Raw genomic sequence first — 22,318 nt, 5'->3', positions numbered from 1 at the left:
TAATAATTTATGCATGGTGTATGCAGTGACACCTGGCCCTCGGCCTCCTGTCTAACAATATACTAGACAAGAATTATTACTCCATAATTCACACCCTGTCATGTCTTATTGCTTAATTAAAGCACAGCCTTCCCCTACATGACAAGCAATTGGACTGTTAACGTTATAGATGATTATCCAATCGAACATATTTTATTTTTACAACTTACTTTTTTTATATACACAGGATGCTTATTTCAGGAACATCTACCTCTGAAAACATGAAAAGTCTGTTTCTTTACTCGCCTTCTGGCTACTGTATAAACCGTCACTAGCAAAAACATGGACAAAATATTTTGTGTTAGGAATTAGTAATTTCGATACAGAAACAGTCATCTACCATCTATAAAATAGATTACTATGTGAGTTTGATGGCATTTGAGTGTTTAATATTTTCTTTTCTATGTTCTATTATTGACCAAGTTAACACTAAGGACTATGTATAGGTGTGTGTACTTGTGAAATAAATGTAAATAAATAAAATATTCAGGGTCTGTACAAGAAGACCTTTAAATTCTACCGGAGAATGCAAAAGAGAATAAGTACATGATCAAACCTACCATGCACTTGGATAAGAAGATTATGTAGTGCAAAGATATTATATTTCCTCAAATTTATCTAGGAATTTAATAATAATTCAGTTCAAATTGAAACATCAACAGCAATATTTTTAACCTGACAACGTGATAATAAAGTTTTTGGGTTAAAAAATAAGTATTTAAAAATTACTAGGAGAATCCTTGGGGAGGAGAGGAGAAAGCAGTAAATAAGGAGCACTTACTCCTGTCCTCTACTAAAACAGATTAGAGTGGTACAATAATTAGCATAGCTAGATGCTGGTAGAGACATGCCAAGAGAATGACAGAGATCAAAGTGAGTGTGGAAATAAACCCAAATGCAAATAGAAATTTGGTGATGACATAAGTAATATTTGAAATAAATGGAATATAAAAAACTAGTTAACTATTTGAAGAAAAAAGAAAACCGGATTCTTACCTAATTCTCTACCTCAAAATAAATTTCAAATGGATCAACATTTTAACATGAAAAATAGAATCATAAAAATTCTAGAACATAAATTCATTTATAAAGTTGATAAGACTTTTTCAAGAAGGATGTAAAACTCACAAGTCATAAAGACTGACAAAATTAAGCAGGAATGTAACAAATAAAAGCAAAGGGCAAATGGAAATCTGGGAGAAAATATATATTTGATACATGTAAAATAATAATTTTCTTAATTTTCAAATAAAATATTTAAATCAATCATAAAAAAGATAATTAGCACAATAGAAAAGTGGGCAAAAATTAGGAAAACTACATTCTTGACTATGTCAATATGGCCTTCTTGGATATGATATTGTACTCAAGTTTTGCAGATGTTACCACTAGGGAAGACAGGACAAAGCGTACTTGGGATCTGTCTGTATTATTTCTCCCAACTGTATGTGAATTTACAATGATCTCAAAATAAAAACTTCGATTTCATTTTAAACAGTACAAAAAATTTAAGAAAGGCAATTTATAGAAATAGAAAAATTCTAATGCCCAATAAACAGATGAAAACATATTCATTTTTAGTCAAAATGCAAATAAAAAGGGGATGAAATTTCTCCTTCTATTAACTTGGTAAAAATTTAAAATGCTCAATAAATAATGTTGTTAAGGGCCAGGGTATGAGGAAAGTAGTCTCTCTTTTGCTGTTGGTGGAAGTATAAATTTGCATAATCTTATTAGAAGGCAATTAGGCTATATATATAAACAAATTTTAAACGCACTTGCCCTTGACCCTCTGATAGGAATTGACTTCATGAATACAGAAGCAAAATTTCTCAAATATATACATATGCAGAGATATATAACCACACTGTTTGTAATAGCGAATAATTGGAAATGACCAAAGGGTACATCAATGGGAAAAAATACTGACTAAATACATTTTGGCACACCCGTAAGTAAGCAGCTATTAAAAAGAATGTGTCCAATATCTCTGAGCTAATAATATACATCAAAAGTAAACAGGGAGGAAGCAATGTGTAAAACAATGTAAACATTTTAGTATAAGTAAAAAAAAAAAATAGCTGATTAGTAGGGAAGTGGTTCAAGGGATAGGTATGATAGATGATAAAAAGAGAGGCAAATAGATTTCTGCATAGGGAAAAATAAAGTGGTACCTAAGTAAGCAGAGTCATACTTATACAGGTAGAATAAGATAAGTAGATAATTAAATGGCTGTCAATAGAAAGTATACAGCCAAAGAAAAAAAATTTTTCAATTTTTTTCCTTATTACTACCCACAGACTACTGTACCCACCTCCTTAAATACCCTATCTTTGAATCATCAGGTTCCATCACCATTTATAGCCATTCTTTGTAATCATCTGCAGACCCCCCAGGCCATTCGCCTGCATTCCTTGGAGATTTTCTATCCTGGTTTACTCTCACCCTTTCCAACATTACTCCTGACAAAATCCTGGGTGACTTGAATATCCATACTGGTCCTTTCAATAGCCTGGCCTCTCCCATTTGAATACCAAAGTTCTTGGACTCCAGCCTCCTCCACTCTTCTTTAACCACTCACTAACATGGTTGCAGTCTAGATTTGTTCATTACAAATAACCTCTCCATTATCTCAATGTTTAGCAGCCCATTGTTAATGCTCCCTCCTCCTGCTGTTCAGTTCCAGCTCCTTCCCTAGGGAACTCAGTCAGCCTGCAGCTGCACCTACACTCTTTTGATCCTAACACCATTCCTCTGCCTCTCACCCTCTCCCTTATCTGCTTATCCAGTTTCAATTCCACAATCCTGAACTAGAGTCACCTCCTATCCTACACTATCAACTCACTTGCTCCACTTGAGTTCCTAAATATTCATTTGGTAAAACCCCAACTATTGTTAAATCCAATTCTCTGTCAACTCCTTATCTGCATGTGCACAGCTCAATGTCCTGAAGAAAACTACACAACACACAGACCAAACTGGGGATCACTCACCTCCACAGTCCTTTTGTGCTTCTGGGTGTTCATATTATTTCCCCATTCTGTTTATTCTCCCTCCCCAATCACAATTTCATGCATTTTTCTGTATCCTCAGAGCTTCTCCACAATCCTCAGCCTCAGCTGATGACCTTGTACATAGCATTAACAAATAAAACGGAGAAGTGAGCTAGAAGAGATCTTCCCCAAGCTCTCTCCTTATCTATCTCCCTTTCTGCATTTGTGCTTACTTATGGCAATTACTTTGCAATGGCTCAGCCTGCAGTCTTGCTGTAGGCCTGATCCCCTCTCATGGACCTCAGGGAACCTCAACAGTTCTTCCTTCTTTCTTGCATCATCCACTTTCCCTTATCAATGGAATCATTCCTAACAAATATAACAATTTTAAAACATATTAATACGGTTCTTTAAAAAACGCTTTCTCCCTTCTTCCGTCTACAGCTACCATTTCATTTTTTACATTCTGATTTCATAACAAAATTCCTTCAATGAGCAGTCTCTCCATTTCCCAATTTCTCTCCTCTATTCTCTTGGGCCTATTTCAGTTAGATTTTCTCTCTCACCACCAATGACCTAACATTGCTAATTTAAGCCAATCTTCCCATTCCCTGACATAATGACGGGATTTTACAAACAGCTTCCACTTGGTGTCCAGGAAACCACCCTTTTCTGGTTTCTTTCTACTTTATTGGCTACTCTGCAGAATCCTGAATTCTTAACATTGGGGTGTCCATGTTTAAACCCTCGATCTTCCTTTCTTCTCTACTCACAATCACTCCTTTCACGATTTTACCCAGTCAGATGACCTTAAATACCATCTATATGCTGAGAATTCCTGAATTCCTATTTTCGACCAATATCTAAAGTAGACTCACAGATTACACTGTTCACCTGACATTTGCAATTAGAAATCTAAGAGGCATCTAAAACTGGGCAGGTCCAAACTGCAACCCAACCCACTTGTTCTCCTAGTCTTCTTTACCTTAGTAAATTATAACTCCATCCTTCTAGTTGCTCAGACAAAAAACTCTGGAGTCATCTTTGGCTCTTCTTGATCTCTCATCTCATACCAAAACTATTTGCAAATTTTGGCAGTTGTGCTTTCAAAATACATTTGGAATGTAAAACTGCTTGGGACCAGTTCTTCCTCTACCATTCTGTTCCAAGCTGCCCACATCCTTCACCTGGACTATTTTTTGCAATAGTCTCCAGCTAGCATCTCTGTTCTGCCCTTTCTCTTGTTTAGTCTGTTTTGAGTTTAACAACCAGGGATATCCCTTAAAAATATCCATCAGATACTACATCACATCAGTCAGAATAGCTATTAGTTATTAAAAAGCCAAAAAACAGATGCTGGTGAGGTTGCAGAGAAAAAGGAATGCTTTTACACTGTTGGTGGGAGTGTAAATTAATTCAACCATTGTAGAAGACAGTTTAGTGATTCCTCAAAGACCTAGAGGCAGAGATATAATTTGACCAAGCAATCCCATTACTGGGTATATATATACCCAAAGGAATACAAATCATTCTATTACCAAGATACATGTGTGGGTATGTTCGTTGACGCACCATTCACAATAGCAAAGACATAGAATCAACCTAAATGCCCATCACTAATGGACTGCATAAAGACAATGTGGTACATATACACCATGGAATACTATGCAGCCATAAAAAGGAACAAGATCATGTCCTTTGCAGCGACATGGATGGATTTGGAAGCTGTTATCCTCAGCAAACTAAAACAGGAACAGAAAACCAAACGCCGCATGTTCTCACTTGTAAGTGGGAGCTGAATGATAAGAACACATGGACACATGGCAGGGAACAACAGACATTGGGGCCTGTCGGGGTTGGGTGAGGGGAGGGGAGGGAGAACATCAAGAAGAATCACTAATGGATACTGGGTGTAATACCTAGGTGATGGGGATGATCTGTGCAGCAAACCATCATGGCACACTTTTACCTATATAACAAACCTGCACATCCTGCACATGTACCCCTGAACTTAAAAGTTGAAGAAAACAAATATTCATCAGATTATGGCATCTCTCTCCTCAAAGTCCTCCAAAATTCCACATCCAGGAAAAATGTCCTTTAAAAGCTCCCCATCTTACATAGATGAAAAATTAAAATTTATGTGTGGCCCCCCCTTTTCTGAGTCTGTGGCTGTCCCGCCACTCTTGCCCTGGTGCCCACACTCCTGCCTATTCCACCTCTCTGAGCCCCTCTGCTGCATTCGCCTCACCAGTGTCTTTTCTGAGAGCATTTGCATCAGCTTCTTTCTTCCCGGAATGATTTCCCCAGGTATCTGCAGGCTTCCTTCCCTCACCTCCTTCAAGCCTTTGCTCAAATATCACTTTCTCAGGAAGACTTTCCTTATTTATAAAAGCACTTCCATGCTCACCATCACTGGCGTCAGAGAAATGCAAATCAAAACCACAATGAGATATCATCTCACACCAGTTAGAATGGCAATCATTAAAAAGTCAGGAAACAACAGGTGCTGGAGAGGATGTGGAGAAATAGGAACACTTTTACACTGTTGGTGAGACTGTAAACTAGTTCAACCATTGTGGAAGTCAGTGTGGCGATTCCTCAGGGATCTAGAACTAAAATACCATTTGACCCAGCCATCCCATTACTGGGTATATACCCAAAGGACTATAAATCATGCTGCTATAAAGACACATGCACACGTATGTTTACTGCGGCACTATTCACAATAGCAAAGACTTGGAACCAACCCAAATGTCCAACAATGATAGACTGGATTAAGAAAATGTGGCACATATACACCATGGAATACTATGCAGCCATAAAAAATGATGAGTTCATGTTCTTTGTAGGGACATGGATGAAATTGGAAATCATCATTCTCAGTAAACTATCGTAAGAACAAAAAACCAAACACCGCATATTCTCACTTATAGGTGGGACTTGAACAATGAGAACACATGGACACAGGAAGGGGAACATCACACTCTGGGGACTGTTGTGGGGAGGGGGGAGGGAGGAGGGATAACATTGGGAGATATACCTAATGCTAGATGACGAGTTAGTGGGTGCAGCGCATCAGCATGGCACATGTATACGTATGTAGCTAACCTGCACATTGTGCACATGTACCCTAAAACTTAAAGTATAATAATAAAAAAAAATAAAAATAAATAAAACAGCAAAAAAAAGCACTTCCAATCATCCTTCCTTATTTTATTTTTCTCCATAGTACTTATCACCATACCACACATACACACATACATCTTTATTCTTATTTATTCTGTCCATAGTCCGTTTTTTCCCACAAGAATATAAGCCCCATGAGAACCAGAAAGTCTTTTTTAAAAAATTCGTTTTGCTTAATATTACAATCCTAGCACCAGAAATAGTTCCTGGTACATAAAAAGCCCTGACTAAACATTTGTTGAGTTAATGAATAAATGATATATAGATATTTTTTAAGTATGCACTTCTATGAAAGAAATTTTAAGAAAGTATAACTAGTAATTATTTTAGACGAGAGAGAATTTGGTAAATTTCTGTATTTTTTTTCTAACCATGTATATTGTTACTTTTCAGAAGTCAGAATTATAACAACACAAATTATATTGGCAGCAAAATGATAGGATATCTGTTACTTTTTTTCTATATATTTCTGTTTTTTTTAAAGGTAAAAAATGTTTTAAATAAATCTACATGTTTTAAAAATTGCTGTTAAAGTTACAAGCAAGGTCAAACAGTAGTGGAGTAAGGAATTGCCGAGCTCACTGAATAGCCCAACATCTGAAGAACTATGTCAATTTTAAACGAAGAAATAGTATAAGATGCCTAACAAATGACACAAGCGATAAGTAATAAGTGTTCTGATTTGAAGTGCAGAGAAGAGTTTACTGAGGTTTGATGATATTATGTGTAGCTAGAGGGTGAAAACCATTTCTCCTGCTATGTTCATTCACGTATCAACTAATAATAATACGGTTGTGATGTAATGTAGCAATGGAAAACTTGGATCTGGTAGTCCATGTTCAGAAACAGAATAGACTGAGCTGGTTTTATTAGTTTGAGTGATAGGCTATTATATTAATGGTTCCACCCGTGACAGGGTGGCCCTCGCTCATCCTAGTGCTGACTAGGCCCCATTTCGTAATGAATGATGGCCTCTGTCAGGCACCAGCACTCTGATCATCCAACACGTACAAAGAAAAAAGTTAGTAATAATTCAGGCACATTTTACCAACTTACATCCAAAGGTATTGACAAGGCAGTATTGTTAAAGCATGCTGAGTTTTCAGTTAACTGCATTAAAAATATGTGAACTCCAGTAGAATTATCTGCCAATATTATGAACATATGGCTCCTTTTTTTAACTAATAAATATTTCTACAGATATGAGACTAATGAAGCACACAGTGATACTGCCTTTTCATGATTATTAAATATACAAATTCTCAAGAGCTACTAATAGATTTAGGTCATCTCAAGCATAATTTCATAGAAAACCACTTCAAGTACCAGGCCTTACTTAGCATAGTATCTATGATGAATGAATGTGGTATGAACACACAATTACAGAAATAAAAATAAACACCATGGCTTGTTGAGGTATATATTTCATTCTCAATGCACCTAAATAACTTTTTAAAACAGAAATGTTATTATTGATATTTCAGTGGCCTTGTTACATTGTATTGGACGCTGGGCTTCACCAAATTACAAAAAGATCTTACAGTCAAGAAGCTGTCCCATTTTTATTCCATTTCAGTCATAGAAAGACAGCCTTGATGCTAAAAGCATTTTATATTTTTTTACGAGATCATCAGCTCAGGATTTTCTGATATCTCTCAATTTTTCTCCACTTCAGCTTTTCTCACAGGTAATAATAAAGCTATTTTGATAGAAATGTAGCCATCTTACGGTTTTCTTTTTAAGTGGGGCTCTGTATTTTTCCCAATTTGAAACAGTAGGTACAGCAAAGTACAGCCGAGTGGAAAGAGGGCAATGTGTGGAAGCAACATGTTCTCCCGAATGTTTCAGGAATCCAGTCTGAATTCTCTTTCATTTTTGTTACTAGTTCATGGTGGTCCCCCCTAGATATTTTCTGAAACTAAATTTGTTTCCTTCTACCACCTTTTTCTTGACTTTTTTTTTTTCCAGTGCTGATTTTTTGGAATGTGTAGGTTTGGTAATTTTTATCATTTTCAAGATTGATTGCAGTGATCTCTATTGTTTGGTATTTTTTCCTTTGGTTTTCACCATTTGCTTTTTCTACTTCTGTTCATTTTGTTGTATCACTTATCTTTCTTGTTAAAGTATTAAACTATCACTTAATACTTTCTTAAACTACAGCTCTTTGTGGTCTCCATTCCCTTGCTCTCCTTTAAAAATATATGTAGTAAGACTCAAGTCCCATTTATATTTTGTCTGAATAACACATATATATTCATAGTGAAACATGTTAAATAAAGTTAATATTCTGAAATTCTCATATCATTCCTATTTTTCTAAAAAATAATCAAAACTGAATTTTTCATAATTGTTAAGATATCAAAAATATCTGTCATTAACTTCAAGACATAAATAGAGAAATCTAATATAGTATAATTTTGTTCATTTTTAGCAAACGGTTCTGTCCATAAATTTTATTTCAGGCTACTAAACCACCTAGATCATGCCAAGTGGTTTATTAAATTTCATGGAAGTAAGAGGTTTAGAATACCTGTGGATTTCATTCAGGATGAAATAAACATAAAAGAAACATTTCGGTATGTGCTTTGGTTGAGGCTGGGGATTAGGTGTGTTTACAGTTAGGTAAATTTCTGAAAACTAAATTCAGGGACTAAAATTGGATTTGATTTCAAACAATCCTTCCATAGCATGTGCGCCGGTTGCTACGCAACACAATTTAATATCAACAGATGATGCCAAGTGATTTTTGCGTACTGTAATTGGCTTGCAACTTTTGCTGCTTGAAAATTGTGAAGAGAATGCGATTATTTAAATTTCAATGGCTATGTTAAAAATGCTAATTTTTATAATTAAAAAAACCTACAACAAGAAAACCGACATCTTAAAACTGAAGCAAAGAACTGTCTTCTGTGATAATAAATGTACGACGGTCTGCAAAGTTCTTCCACCCCTTGGGAAAGCATAGACCATACTGAGGTAGCTTTTGATGCTGGTCTACTCACCTAGCTTCTCTGATGAGTTGGATGTGGAAAGCTTATATAGAGGCAGAGCTCAGTTAGTGTAATTTATGTATCCTTGGACGTCAATCATTCCTGTTGAGAGGTGGGACTTGCAGGCTCTCAGTGCATTAATTAAGAGCTCATCTCAGCAGAGCCATTTTTCTACCTAAGGACCAAAAAGAAAGTTTTAATTAGATTTTTAAAAGCAAGTATGTCATATATGAAAGCAAGTATAGTTCTTTAGTTGGTACGAGAGGCAACAGTTCGAAGGGTCTCTTCCAGACAATACAAGGGGCACCAGTTCTCAGTCATCTGTGACATTATGAGTAAGTGGGGGAGCTTCATTCTTAAACATTGGTTTCGACATTTGGACAATCACTTTATGAAATCGCTGAAATTTTGACTATGTTGTTTCATTGCCAACATCATTATTGGACCCCTGTCTAATTATTGATGCAGAGCTGATGCTGATTGAATGCAATTACAACGTCAAGGACAGACAGGAGTTTTCTCTGATGGCTGGCGTTTTGTTCCAGGCTAGCTTCTGACTGAATATGCAGTGGGCAATACAATGCAAGTTCAGCAAAAGGGAGTGAGGGAACTTGCACAACACATTAATTTCATGGGTTCAGTGACGGAGTGAGTGTGCCCTTGCCAGCTAACCTAAAAATATAGGGACTCGAGAGAGGTAAAAACTAGCTAGGCTCACTGGTGTCAGCTGCTTGAGAGAGGCTGTTCTCCTGGAATAGCTTGTGTGAGGCCATCAAACATACTCCTTAGGGTTCGCTTGGGAAATAATAGATACATTATTGATTAAAATATTTATAAATTAAGGGAGGGAAAACACATTTTAAAAGCTAGTTCAGATTCTACAAGGGAAATATATCTACTCATAGCTATTAACCCCTCCCCCTCCATAATTTAGGAGGGGGGTTCAGAATGCATGCTTGGGAGAACGAAAACAAGTGTTTGTCAATAGCCAGAAAAAAAGCAAATAGGAAAACTAATCTAAAAATACAGGGACTCGAGAGAAAACAAAAGGAAATGCTACGAACAATCAAAACACTACATCTTAGAAATAGTGAAGAAATTACCAAACCTAAACATTCTAAAACATCAGCATTGGAAAAAGCAGAGGTACAACATTTCTGCTTTCAGAAAGGTTATAGACGATGGGGACATATAAACCCAAAAACAACAAGCACAAAATAAAGGACTTCATAAGAGTAAGGGGGTTGCTAACAAACAGGACCAGTACAATGGACAGATGATTCAGAAAGCAAGGAAAGCTCTGGCTCAAAAGAACAGAACGTGTGTTCCACTGTTTCTCATTGGTGTTATATTTCATTTTATTTTTTCTAAGGGAGGATGTTTAGGAAATCCAGTTACTGTATACACTGTAAATTTACCACCTAACTAGCATACTTGACATGTACTGAATAACAGCCACAAACCTTACAAAAGAAACTATAGATTTTACAGGTATATAGCTCGTGCAGTATGTTTCTAAATGATAGTGTACGATGAAAACATTACTGTATGGACAACTTGTCAGAAGAATAAAGCTGGAAAATTGCAACCCATCATTTATGTTAATGTTCATAAAGATATTTTATAATCCTTTCTCAGCTCTTTCCCTTCACATATTTTTCCAGCTATTTTTCCTCATTTATTGTGCTGTATAATGTTTATTGCACAATACATAGAGTAGTACTCCCCAGATACGAGTTGGCAATTGTGCTGGTTACACCAATCTCGTGTGCCTGATAAATTTATGTAATACCACATCCTGCATTTGAGTACCATTACTGTGTCTTTCAGTGCAAAATTTTTATTTGCATTTAAGCTAGGGCATATCCCAAAGTCAGATGACCGCTTGGGCATATCATACTCCAGGATGTCTAAATGGTAATATTAATATATACAGCGTCATGTCTTGTGGTTATGTGCAAGTTATTTACCTCAGGAATCTGTTTTCCAAGGAATCCTTAAATTATCTTTATGATAGACTGAGGACAGAACATGTTAAAATTAACAGACACTGAATGCAGTTATTTTTAAAGGAGAAAAACCTCATGATGTGCCTCTTCATGTGCTGTCAGCGTTTTTTTCCCCCTGAAGAAGTTACATATGGTCTTGTGATCTGAAGACATCTTCCAGCGACATTGACCAGGGCCACTCTATTATACATTCCTTGTCAGTTCCTATGAGCCTTGTTTCTTAAGAGCATGACAGGAGGAAAAGGCTTCAGAACAGGCAGCACACTTTTGTACTTTTAGCCAAAAGTATGAATTTTCTTATTGCTTAAATGTGTAGCTTCATAGGAACCTAACATTAGGATTTGGGGTAAAAGTAAGCATTTTCCTGAATGAGAACTTTTTTGTTTTTCTACATGAAATCTTCTCAACTGGATGGGACCTTTCAAAGTTCGCTAAAGTGGAAGTTCGGGTTAAATTGTAAGTGGAACAATATATCTGTACTAGACTTTGGGATTTGTTCTGAAATTGGTTGCAATGGTGCCATGGTGTTCCATGGAAGAGAACTTGGTCTGTATTTGAAGAACTACCGGTAGCTGATGGAAGACCTGACTTCACCTCCCCAGCCCTTGTTTCAGAAAATTCACATCGTTTTTCAAAGATTCTTGTGGTCTGAGACTCTATTAGATACTCGACTTGGTCCAAGACTCTCACCACCCCAGGAAGTGATTGTGTTATGGGCCACGTGTTTCTCCTGGCTTCTCCTCCTAGCAGCCAAGATGGCGGCTTCAGGACAAGAAAGCACGTGCATCGCCTCTTCCCCTAAGATTTCAGTGGGCCTCCACTAGTTCCTGTCAACATGGCAGGGGCTGTTTTATGTATCCATTTGGTGAACTGGGGGGTTATGAAACAGTGAGTCCCCACAGGGAATCAGGGAGGCTCAGTCGGCTCCAATTCAAATTTTAATTTGTTCGTGATTTAAAAATAACCTAGTTGAGGCCAGGATTATTGGGTTTTAATGGTATTTGGGTGTATACGCTCACATAAAGCTATGTGGCCCTGGAAAACAAACAGATTGTATCTACTCACAGAATAGTTTTTCCTGGGTGAACCAGGAAAATTTTTTGAACAGTTAGCTAACTCATTCAGAGAACTCAGCCACGTTAGTATATATTAATTTGCCATGTTTTCTATACTCGTGGGACTTATATCCAAAGGCAAGCTATAACGAAGCTCTGGATAAAATGGTCTAGTTCTGTTGTCTTATCATTGGCAATTACATGTGAAAGAGCAGGTTTATTATTGTGTGACAACCTCTACTCTTTTTGCATAATTTGATCAGAAAGAATAGAAATTTATATTTTCTTTTTTCTTTTCTGAGATGGAGTTTTGCTATTGTCGCCCAGGCTGGAGTGCAATGGCGCCGTCTCGCCTTACTGCAATCTCTGCTTCCCAGGTACAAGCAGTTCTCCTGCCTCAGCCTCCCAAGTAGCTGGGACTACAGGCACGTGCCACCACGCCCGGCTAATTTATGTATTTTTAGTAGATACAGGGTTTCACCATGTTGGCCAGGCTGGTCTTGAACTCCTGACCTCAGGTCATCTGCCCGCTTTGGCCTCCCAAAGTGCTGGGATTACAGGCTTGAGCCACCATGCCCGGCCAAAATTTCTTATTAGAATATGTTATAAGAAAAAAAGATAGACATTAAATTAGAACTTTGGGTTCAAAATCACACGTAGCATTTATAGCAGAAACTGGGACTCCTGGAAGTCTTTAAATGACAAAAATACCAACTTTGAGGTTTTATAATTTAGTTGGCAATTGTGAAATTTGTTATCAGAGACATTTTTATTTCTATTAGTGAGAACCCATACAGCAAACTGTACAGATACTAATTCGATCTAGTAGCACTAAGGAAAGACAAATCAAGTCTTGCTCTAGTGTCTACTAGAATGTGTGGGTTTGCAGAACAGGAATGGGTTAGTGCTGTGTAAAATCTATTTATTTAGATAGAGTTTGTCCCAGGCCATATAAGAGAGATGTCTGGGTGGGTTGTCAGTCTTTCATCATTGACATTTTATTATTTAGTTTTAATGCTGAGATATCTTATTGTATATATGTCTAAAGGTTTTCTGCTTTGATATGTTTATAAGACAGAATATTAAATAAGTGATGATTTAGTCCAATATTGATGCAGCATTACAGTAAGTTTATATATTTTAAAACTTTTCCCAATTCTGACTGAGGAAAAATGATTAATTTGTAGTGACTTTCTTGACATCTAAATTATTGGAGGGAAAACAAGCATCAAATTGTATGGGCATTAGGTTATGTAAATATTGTCAACTAATATTTGTTTCTATGGGATGCTACAAGTACCACATTATTTTCTTGTAACTCTTTTACAAGTTTAAAAACAATGGGGGAACATAATTAAAGTACTCTATTAAGGACATGTTCTAATGTAATTTTTGAATGAAAATAACTGCTTATAATAAAAAAATGGCAGTTAGTGTAACTGTAGAGGTAAAGCCACAGTGATGAAAAATAGTAGAATAAATCTATATTTATTTTAAAAATAATATATATTTTTTACATACCCAGTTCTTTGCATTTCCTTGTAAATTCTGTATGTGGGCATATGAGCACACCTCATTCATACTTGTTAATTGCTTCTTTATTAACAAGTTTAAATGATTTTCTTTTAAAGAACATTGAGAGTGTTTAACTTTTTAATATTCAACAAGTATTCCATATTTCCAAATAATCTTGTTAATGTCATGACATTTGAAAAGCTTTGCTTCTATCAAGCCATTTCTTTGACATTCCCATAGAACCTATGCACAGGAGATTTTAAAGAGAGGTTTTGGTTATTCTGTGTTCATTTTCACTCCTTACCAAGAGTTAAGGTACAGCTAAGGCTTGTATCTCTTATTCTCATATTCTCAACAATTTGAAGCAAGGAATAAAATAGCAGAGAATTCTTTTTCTGTGCTTTGGAAAATATTGATCCTTTTTTCCTGTGCTTTGGAAAATCTTGATCATATTTAGCCAGTTGTACTTACATGTAAAATATGAATCTCTTTGAAAATTGGTCTTCTGCACTCAACATTGCCTAAACAACAAATTTGGTCATATATACATATATGTGTGTGTATATATGCATATATATGTTTAATGCCAAACCCAAAAATCTTCAACTTCCTCCATTGTTAGTACTAAGAAACGTATGTATGTGTTGGTGATGTAGGGGGTGAAAATGAGGCTTGATTGATTCATTCACACACGTATTTATTCAATTAATTTTTATTGAACTCCCAAACAAGTGGTGAGCGCTATGCTGTGTTCTGGGGATTAAAAAAAAAATGAGCAAAACAGATGAGGACCCTGCCCTCATTAAGCTTCTATTTTAGTAGATATATATATAGGTGTTACCTAAGACCTCAAAGCATTTTTACCTATTCAGTCTTCACATTTACCTCTTTTATTTGCCATGGCATCCTGAAATATTATCAATTCAGTGATGTTCACTTTCCAAAAACATTCGTAAACATACTTGGTGTTGAAGTCTGATTTGCCACATAAGATGATTGAAAAAGCAATTCTAAATCACTTCTAGGCATTCAGTATAAAAGGAAATTTTCAAAGATACGTTTATGGCTTAATAATTAAATCTGGATGAATATGCCTGCTGGGAACTTCTACAATAATAAAATAGAACGGCAGGTTCCAAACCGCAAACAAAGAACTTTTTCTTTCAAAGATTTGAGTCACAGCATATTAGTGTTTAATGGATTTTGCATTTTTAAACGCATAATGTCAGAATTCCTTGGTAAGAAGTCTTAATAATTATTCAAGTACAATCCAAGTGGTCCTGAAAAACAAAGAATGGGAAGCAGATACTCAACTGCGTCCCTCTTCCGGGGACTCTAAGTACCTGAAACAGGAAGATACAACTTTCTTGATTCAGATCTGGAGCCTCTCCTTTCCCCAACCATAAGCCCCATGAGATACTTGGATACTCAGTCTTTTTCTGCCTTCTACAGACTAGTCCAAAGCTGGTAGCATCATTCAAACAAGTGATGCCCACCAGATGAAATGGACATCTGGAGACAGTCTTGATATGGACCCACAGATCTCAGTATGCTCAAGCGTTATCTAAGGCAAAAACGAGGAGAGTGTAAGAGGATGCATGACAACTTCTCTTGAGAATCTGGTGATTTCAGTCACTCCTTTCTTATAAAACTGATCACAGAAAAATGACATTAGTTTCTAGCAATAAGCAACAGCTGAGATTATAAAGATATACAAACTTTCCAAGTCTTTCAGAAACATAGCCTGAATCAATAAGAGAGAAGATTTTGGAAAATAACTACATTTTAAGACCACTTTTAAACATAAATAGATGTCAGAAGATTGGACTTAATGTATGTTTATATCTATTTACATCTATGTACCTTTCTTCATTTATCTGTCTTCAGAAGTCAAAGAAAAATAAGGTTCTACTTTCATCCCAGGATAGCAACTTGAATAAATTGCTTATATAATGACTTTAATTCCAGAGGTCCAAAGACAAAAACGCAACTCCCAACCTTCATCTGCATTTTCAGGCCATATAAAATCACAACACTTTAGAGTACTCTCAGTACAGTTAGGCGATTCTAATTTGTGTCCATTCTCCTCCTTCTTTTCCTTCTCAATAAATAATGGATAAAGCAACAACGGGTCTTTGCTGACTTTTTAATTCTTCGAATATACCAAAATTATCTCCTGGAAATAAATTAACGTCTATACAATAGTCTGCAAATGGTTTGAAAGTAATTTAGTGGTTCTTAAAATGCTCCATGTGTTCTATTTTATATTTGAGCCAATTAATCACTCCACTCATCCCCCGCCCCCCTACTCATCCCACCTCAAAACGCAAGCTGTGTCACTCTGAAAAATAATCGAAGAGAGAGTCCTTCAATTATTTTTGCCCTTCTTTTCTTGGTTTGCTATCCAATTTTCTATTAATTGGAACTAACTGACATATTAACAGTGCAAATGCAAACGTTATGCAAATCTGAAATGGAAAGTTCTTTTTACCGGAAACACAATTGATAACTATATAAATATAATAACTGTGTAACTACGGCCCTACCTGATTTATGAAAAAGGTATCCTTTTTCATTATAATGGCTGCTTAGGCCTTTAAGATAATCATTACGTTTTTATTCTACCTTTTTTGTTTGGAATTTTTAAAAAATGATGGCATTGCACATTTCTGTACATTAAGAAACTGACATAGGAAATGAAATTAAAATAACCTGAGTCAAGTTAGTAGAGGGATGTTTCTAGAATGTATTGAAGTGGGTGAAACTGTTTTGGTGGGCTGTTCCTCCTGGAGTCATTTCTGAGTTCTACAGTCATTTCTTGCCAAGGTCAGTTGATGTACCTCTTTTCTACCATGCATCTATCCTTCTAGCTCCTTCTCCCATCACCCATCCAGTCATTTCTCAGCCAATCACCCATGACTGCTGTTGGGTTTCCTTCAGATTGTAATGAAAGCAAATTGGAACACTGAATTGGGGAAAATCGCCTCATAAGCAAATTATATGCAAGATAACTTTTTTCTTGGACTCATATTCTGTTTCCTTTCCCATTTAGTTTTAGATTCCTTTTGCATTTGAGGATTTTATGTAAGTTTGAGATTGATATTTAAATAAAATACAGCCTGGCCATGTCCCATTCATCTTATGGTCCCTTCAGTTATAGAACTCACTCTGGTGCCCAGGGAGGTAGGACTTTTAGGACAATCATTTTCCATGTAAAATTTATTCGTAAAAATGTTCATTTGTCTCTTAACTGCTTTGTTAATATATAGTACAGTGGACCATGGTGACTTGACTTTATTTTCTTTTCTATGTGTATGCTGAGCAAAGACAACAGTTGTTCCTTTTAATCAGTCACCTTTGGGGGACAAAAAGTCCACGTGACAAAAGCCATACTAATTCAACACATTTAATTTAAAATAAGACACACATTGTCTTGAACAGAGTAGGCATTTAATAAATACTTGTTGATTGGGAGGCTGAGGCAGGTGGATCGCTTGAGCTCAGAAGTTTGAGACCAGCCTGGGCAACATGGTGAAACCCTACATCTACAAAAAATATAAAAAACTAGCTGGGTGTGGTGGCAAATGCCTATAATCCCAGCTACTCGGGAGGCTGAGGAAGGAGGATTGCTTGAACCTGAGAGGTCGAGGTTGTAGTGAGCTGGGATCACCACTGCACTCCAGCCCGGGTGACAAAGTGAGACCCTGTCTCAGAAAAACAAAACAAAAGAAAAACTTGTTGAATTTAGCTGAAGTTTATAAAATATACTCATGCATTAAAAATTTTACTCATCCCTTAAAAGGAATCTTCATTAGTATTAAAATTTAGCAGGAATTCCTAAAAAATAGCACATTTACCTATTTAATACAGTTATGCAGAACTTTAAAAGTATTACCTGTCCTCTTTTTTAAAAAAATGTATCTCATATGATATTCTTTTTTGCCCCTATTACGAAGTGGACATAATCTGAGTAAAGAATTAACAAGCTGTAAGTTGTGGTTCTGACATACATCTCTTGCACAGACATGATTTAGATAATCATAATGCATATCAAATTCATGCTTTAGCTGGGTGGTCTACAATTCATAATGTGGAACAGGATTCTTATAATCTTTACATTATCTTCAGAAATGCTCGTTTTCCATACTGAAAACTGTTGTTAAGGAACAGTCAAATAAATACGAGAATTGCCGATCTTATCTTGTGAAACATATAAACAGCATGAGTCGCATTTTTACTTTGGTGGCTGCATAGCTTCAATTTTACAGCTTAATTTTTGGAGCTGCATTAGCCACATGGAGAAGTCATACTAGAAACTCGTTAAAAATGTAGTATGTGACTTTCTGTGTTGCTTATAAGATTTAGATCATATTAAATTATAAAAGCATAAAACCCCTCTAAACAGTGAATTTTCTATCAATCCTGAGAAATTATAAATCAAAACAGAACAACAAAAGTCTATCTGGTCGCACTGCACTGTGGGTTTTCCCCCACTTCCTCCACATCTGTCTCCCCTTCTTCCTGGGAAACATGGCTGCTGTGATCTAAGAGACCAAAATAGACACCCCTTTATCCACGAAGTTAGACCCCAAAGTTACGGGAACAAAGTTACCTACAGGTTGGAGGCCAGCTGGCAGGGTAAACTCTAAACTCCTACGACTAAACTCCCTAACAATAGGAGCCATCGGCTCGGATTTACAACTCAGACCTCTGCAACTCTAATTGTGGAAAGGACATGCATTGCAAGCGTTCCTTCTGGATGATTCTTTCAGCCACCTTCTAGAGACTGTGCACCAAAGGGCTTTGTGGCTTACAGTCCACCTTTTGTGGAAAAGAGCCAAGTGCCATCTCATTTTAATGCGAAAACCCTGCCCCAAAGTGCACATGGGCTATATGTTATATTTATGTTTACTCATTACATGCACTTGACTCCCCTCAAACGCGTGTATAGCTTTCCCCCGAAACCTGCTGAATGTGTATGACTATTGTGTGATACGAGCCCTGCGAGGCATAAAACCCAACCTCTCCTGCCCCGCTTTGAAGAGAGAGCACCTTTGGTCCGCGCGAGAGACTGTCTCTTCCTGGCTTGCAAACTGATATCCCCAATAAAGCTCTCCTTTCTATTTATCCATCCTGATGGTCTTTTGGACAACATTGTGTAGCTAGAAAATAATTTTCCAGCTTCTCTCAGACATCGTGTGGCCAGGTATTTAAATTCGGTCTAATGGAATGTGAACAGTCATCTGTCCTTGGACTTGGCCATGTCTCCTGTCACCATTGGCTGGAAAATGTACATAGCAGTGAGCTGGCTCCGACAAAGACAATGACAATAATGCCCTCGTGGGCCGGCAGGGCAACAAGACCAAAGCACTTGGTTCCCTGAATAACCCAGTGGAGAAGAGCCACCCTGGCAGCCTAGACCAGCTGCTCTGTCACGTGAAAGAGGCTTACGTCCTATGTTTAACATACCAAATTTGGGGTTTTCATTGTAATTTAACTGAGCCTTTACTCAAATACATCTGTTAATGATAGAGCCACAAAAGTTGCATCTGAAATTTAATTTGTAAAACAAATAAAAACAACCTGGCTGCCTTTCCGGTTCCTCTAAAGAAAGCATCATGAGCTCTCATTAGTTCCTGTGACCCGGGCTTCTGCTACATTCTTTGATTTGCTCCTCACAGGAAGGCTTGGAGGAGGGAGGAGCAGCCATCATGGCATTTGCTTCCACAGTCATCCTGGCAAGCACGTTTAGAGCAACGACAGTCATGTCATTCCCCTTCCATTGTCCACATAGCTTCAATGAACCCTAAGTGTCTTTCGAGGCCCAGATCAAATATCACCACCTCTTCCAGAAATAATATTTTGACTTTTTCAGCGAGAAATAACTTCTCATATTTTTTTAAATGCAAAATGAATCACACAGAATTATGTACAGAATTATATCTGTGCATGGGACATCACAGCATTTATTAATAATTACATATGTATTTTCTTCACTTCCCTCTATTAAAATGTAAGCTTCCTCTATGTCTGGTTTATTTTGTAGTGTTCACAGTGTTTTGCATGTACTTAGAGCAACATAAATTGATTGTTATACTGAATGAATAACTTCTCATTTGTTAAATAATAAAACAGTTCTTACTAAGCTTAAGGAAACAACATAATAATGTATCTTAAATGTAAAAAAAAAATTTCACACTCATCTAGAAGCCATATAAACTACTACTGTCAGAGGTGTTTGAACCAGAGCGACTCCATCTTGAAAAGGGGCTGGGTAAAAGAAAGCTGAGACCTGCTGGGCTGCATTCCCAGGAGGTTAGGCATTCTTAGTCACAGGGTGAGATAGGAGGTCGGCACAAGATACAGGTCACAAAGACTTGGTTGAGAAAACAGCTTGCAGTAAAGAAGCTGGCCAAAACCTTCACAAGCCAAGATGGTGATGAAAGTGACCTCTGGTCCTCCTCACTGCTCATTACATGCTAATTACAATGCATTAGCATGCTAAAAGCCATGCCCACCAGCACCACGACAGTTTATAAATGCCATGGCAACATCAGGAAGTTATCCTATATGGTCTAAAAAGGGGAGGGACCCTCAGTTCCAGGGAATCTCCATCCCTTTCCCAGAAAACTCATGAATAATTCACTCCTTGTTTAGCATATAATCAAGAAATAACTGTAAGTATATTCAGTCAAGCAGCCCATGTTGCTGCTCTGCCTGCGGAGTAGCCATTGTTTACTGTTTTACTTTCTTAACCGCTTTCACTTTATGGACTGGCCCCAAATTCTTTCTTGTGCGAGATCCTAGAACCCTCTTTTTGGGTCTGGATAGGGACCCCTTTCCCGTAACTGCTACTACTACTATTAATGATTTGGCCATTCGACTGAGACACACCTAGATGATATTAATATCAGGTAGAAATAATCGTTTTCATTAAATTGAACACCACCATCTTTTCAACTGTTTTTTGATAAAAGTTTTAAAAGGCAAGAACATGAGTCTATTACAGACTCTAGAAACATTATGTTGTTTATCACAAAAAGATCAGACTGATCTGATTTCAGTGGGAAAATCTATAAGCAATTTAAAAAATCATGTCTGATATTTACTCAGTGGCTATCTTATTTACTAGGATTTATAAGATTGAATCATGTGTTACCCACCAAATTAAGGCATAGTAGACTTGCGATTGCTTCTGAAAGTAACATTAGGACTAGCTGTCAAATCGGAGAGTCAGTTGATCCTTATTAGCTGAACTCCAGCTTAATTAGAACATGGAGATATATATAATTTAAAAAACGTATCCTTAATACTTAAAAGCTTGGGAACCAGAAAGAGAAGTCTCAAGGAGGCTTAATAATGCATTTATGGATTTTATGTTCTCGATTCTCAAATGCTCATATTTGAAAGTATTGTAGTAAATCTGACAAATAATAAAATATAGTAAATATTATCTTGCCCTAATATTCTAAACGCCAGCTTTCTCTAAGGGTAAAGAAATGTATGCTCTTCAACAGATTATGTGAATGAGATAGTATTACATTATAAAATCATCTAATTATTTTTTCTCAAGCTGTGATATTATAATGTATATATTTTGGGTTTTGTCCATGATTCCTGGCTCTCAGCTCCTGGGACCCTTGTATTCCCTAAGTGACTAGAGAATATCTTTTGTTAAAGTATTTGGTCTTTTATCCTTGGTTCCTGAAGTAGTTCCTAAGCAATAAAAGTGATAGACAGCTTCTGTTATTTACAACAAGCTCTTTCAAGCACACCTGAGCCTATGTTAATGAGGTGATTTTTGGAAAACTCTTAGATACCACAAGATGGCGGTGGGGGCTGGGTGCCAGGGGAAGCAGCCATTTGCTCAAAGGGTTGGAACTTTTAATCCCAGGTCACCCAACCTCTGGGGAAGGTAGAGGGGTTGAACATTAAGTTGATCACCAATGGCCAATGGTTTAATCAATCTTGCCTATGTAATGAAGCTTCCATAAAAACCCAAGAGGCATGGAGTTGGAGAACTTCTGGATAGCTGAACACACGAAGGTTCCTGGAGGGTGACGTCCCTCCCCGCATACCTCTCCCTTCTGTATGCATCTCTCCATCTGCATCCTTTGTAATATCCTTTAGAATAAACCAGTACATGTAAGTAAGTGTTTCCCTGAGTGCTGTGAGCTGCTCTAGCAAATTAATTGAAGCCAGAGGGAGTGTCTGGGAAATGCAATTTTAGCCGGTTGGTCAGAAGTGCAGGTAGAACAACCTGGGGCTTGCTGTTGTCATCAGAAATTTGGAAGTGGGGGGTGATCTTTGGGACTGAGCCCTCAACCTGTGGGATCTGACTATCGCAAGGTAGATGGTGGCAGAATTGAACTGAATTACAGGACACCCAGCTTGAGACTGCTGCAGAATTGATTGCTTGCTTGCTGGTGGGGAGAAACCCCTACAGATTTGGTCACAGAAGTATTCTGTGTTGATTGCTGTGGTGTGAGAACAGAGGAAAAACAGTTAGTTTTTTTCCTCCAATAAAT

General features: G+C 37.0%; 1 protein-coding gene across 7 annotated transcripts in view; it reads right to left on the bottom strand.

Moving 5' to 3' along the window:
* Positions 1 to 22,318, bottom strand: part of TENM3 (teneurin transmembrane protein 3) — a 1,355,412-nt gene that overhangs the window by 1,054,152 nt on the left and 278,942 nt on the right. For all 7 annotated transcript variants that reach the window (XM_017008385.2, XM_017008389.2, XM_017008390.2 and 4 more), the window contains exon 2: positions 9,224 to 9,386. The gene's annotated coding sequence lies outside the window, so the exon portion shown is untranslated. The remainder of the gene's footprint in view (positions 1 to 9,223; positions 9,387 to 22,318) is intronic.

This window comes from Homo sapiens, chromosome 4 (assembly GCF_000001405.40).
Source record: "Homo sapiens chromosome 4, GRCh38.p14 Primary Assembly".
Taxonomy (NCBI): domain Eukaryota; kingdom Metazoa; phylum Chordata; class Mammalia; order Primates; family Hominidae; genus Homo; species Homo sapiens.
Note: the sequence above shows the minus strand (reverse complement) of the source record. Positions and strands in the feature narration are given on the sequence as shown.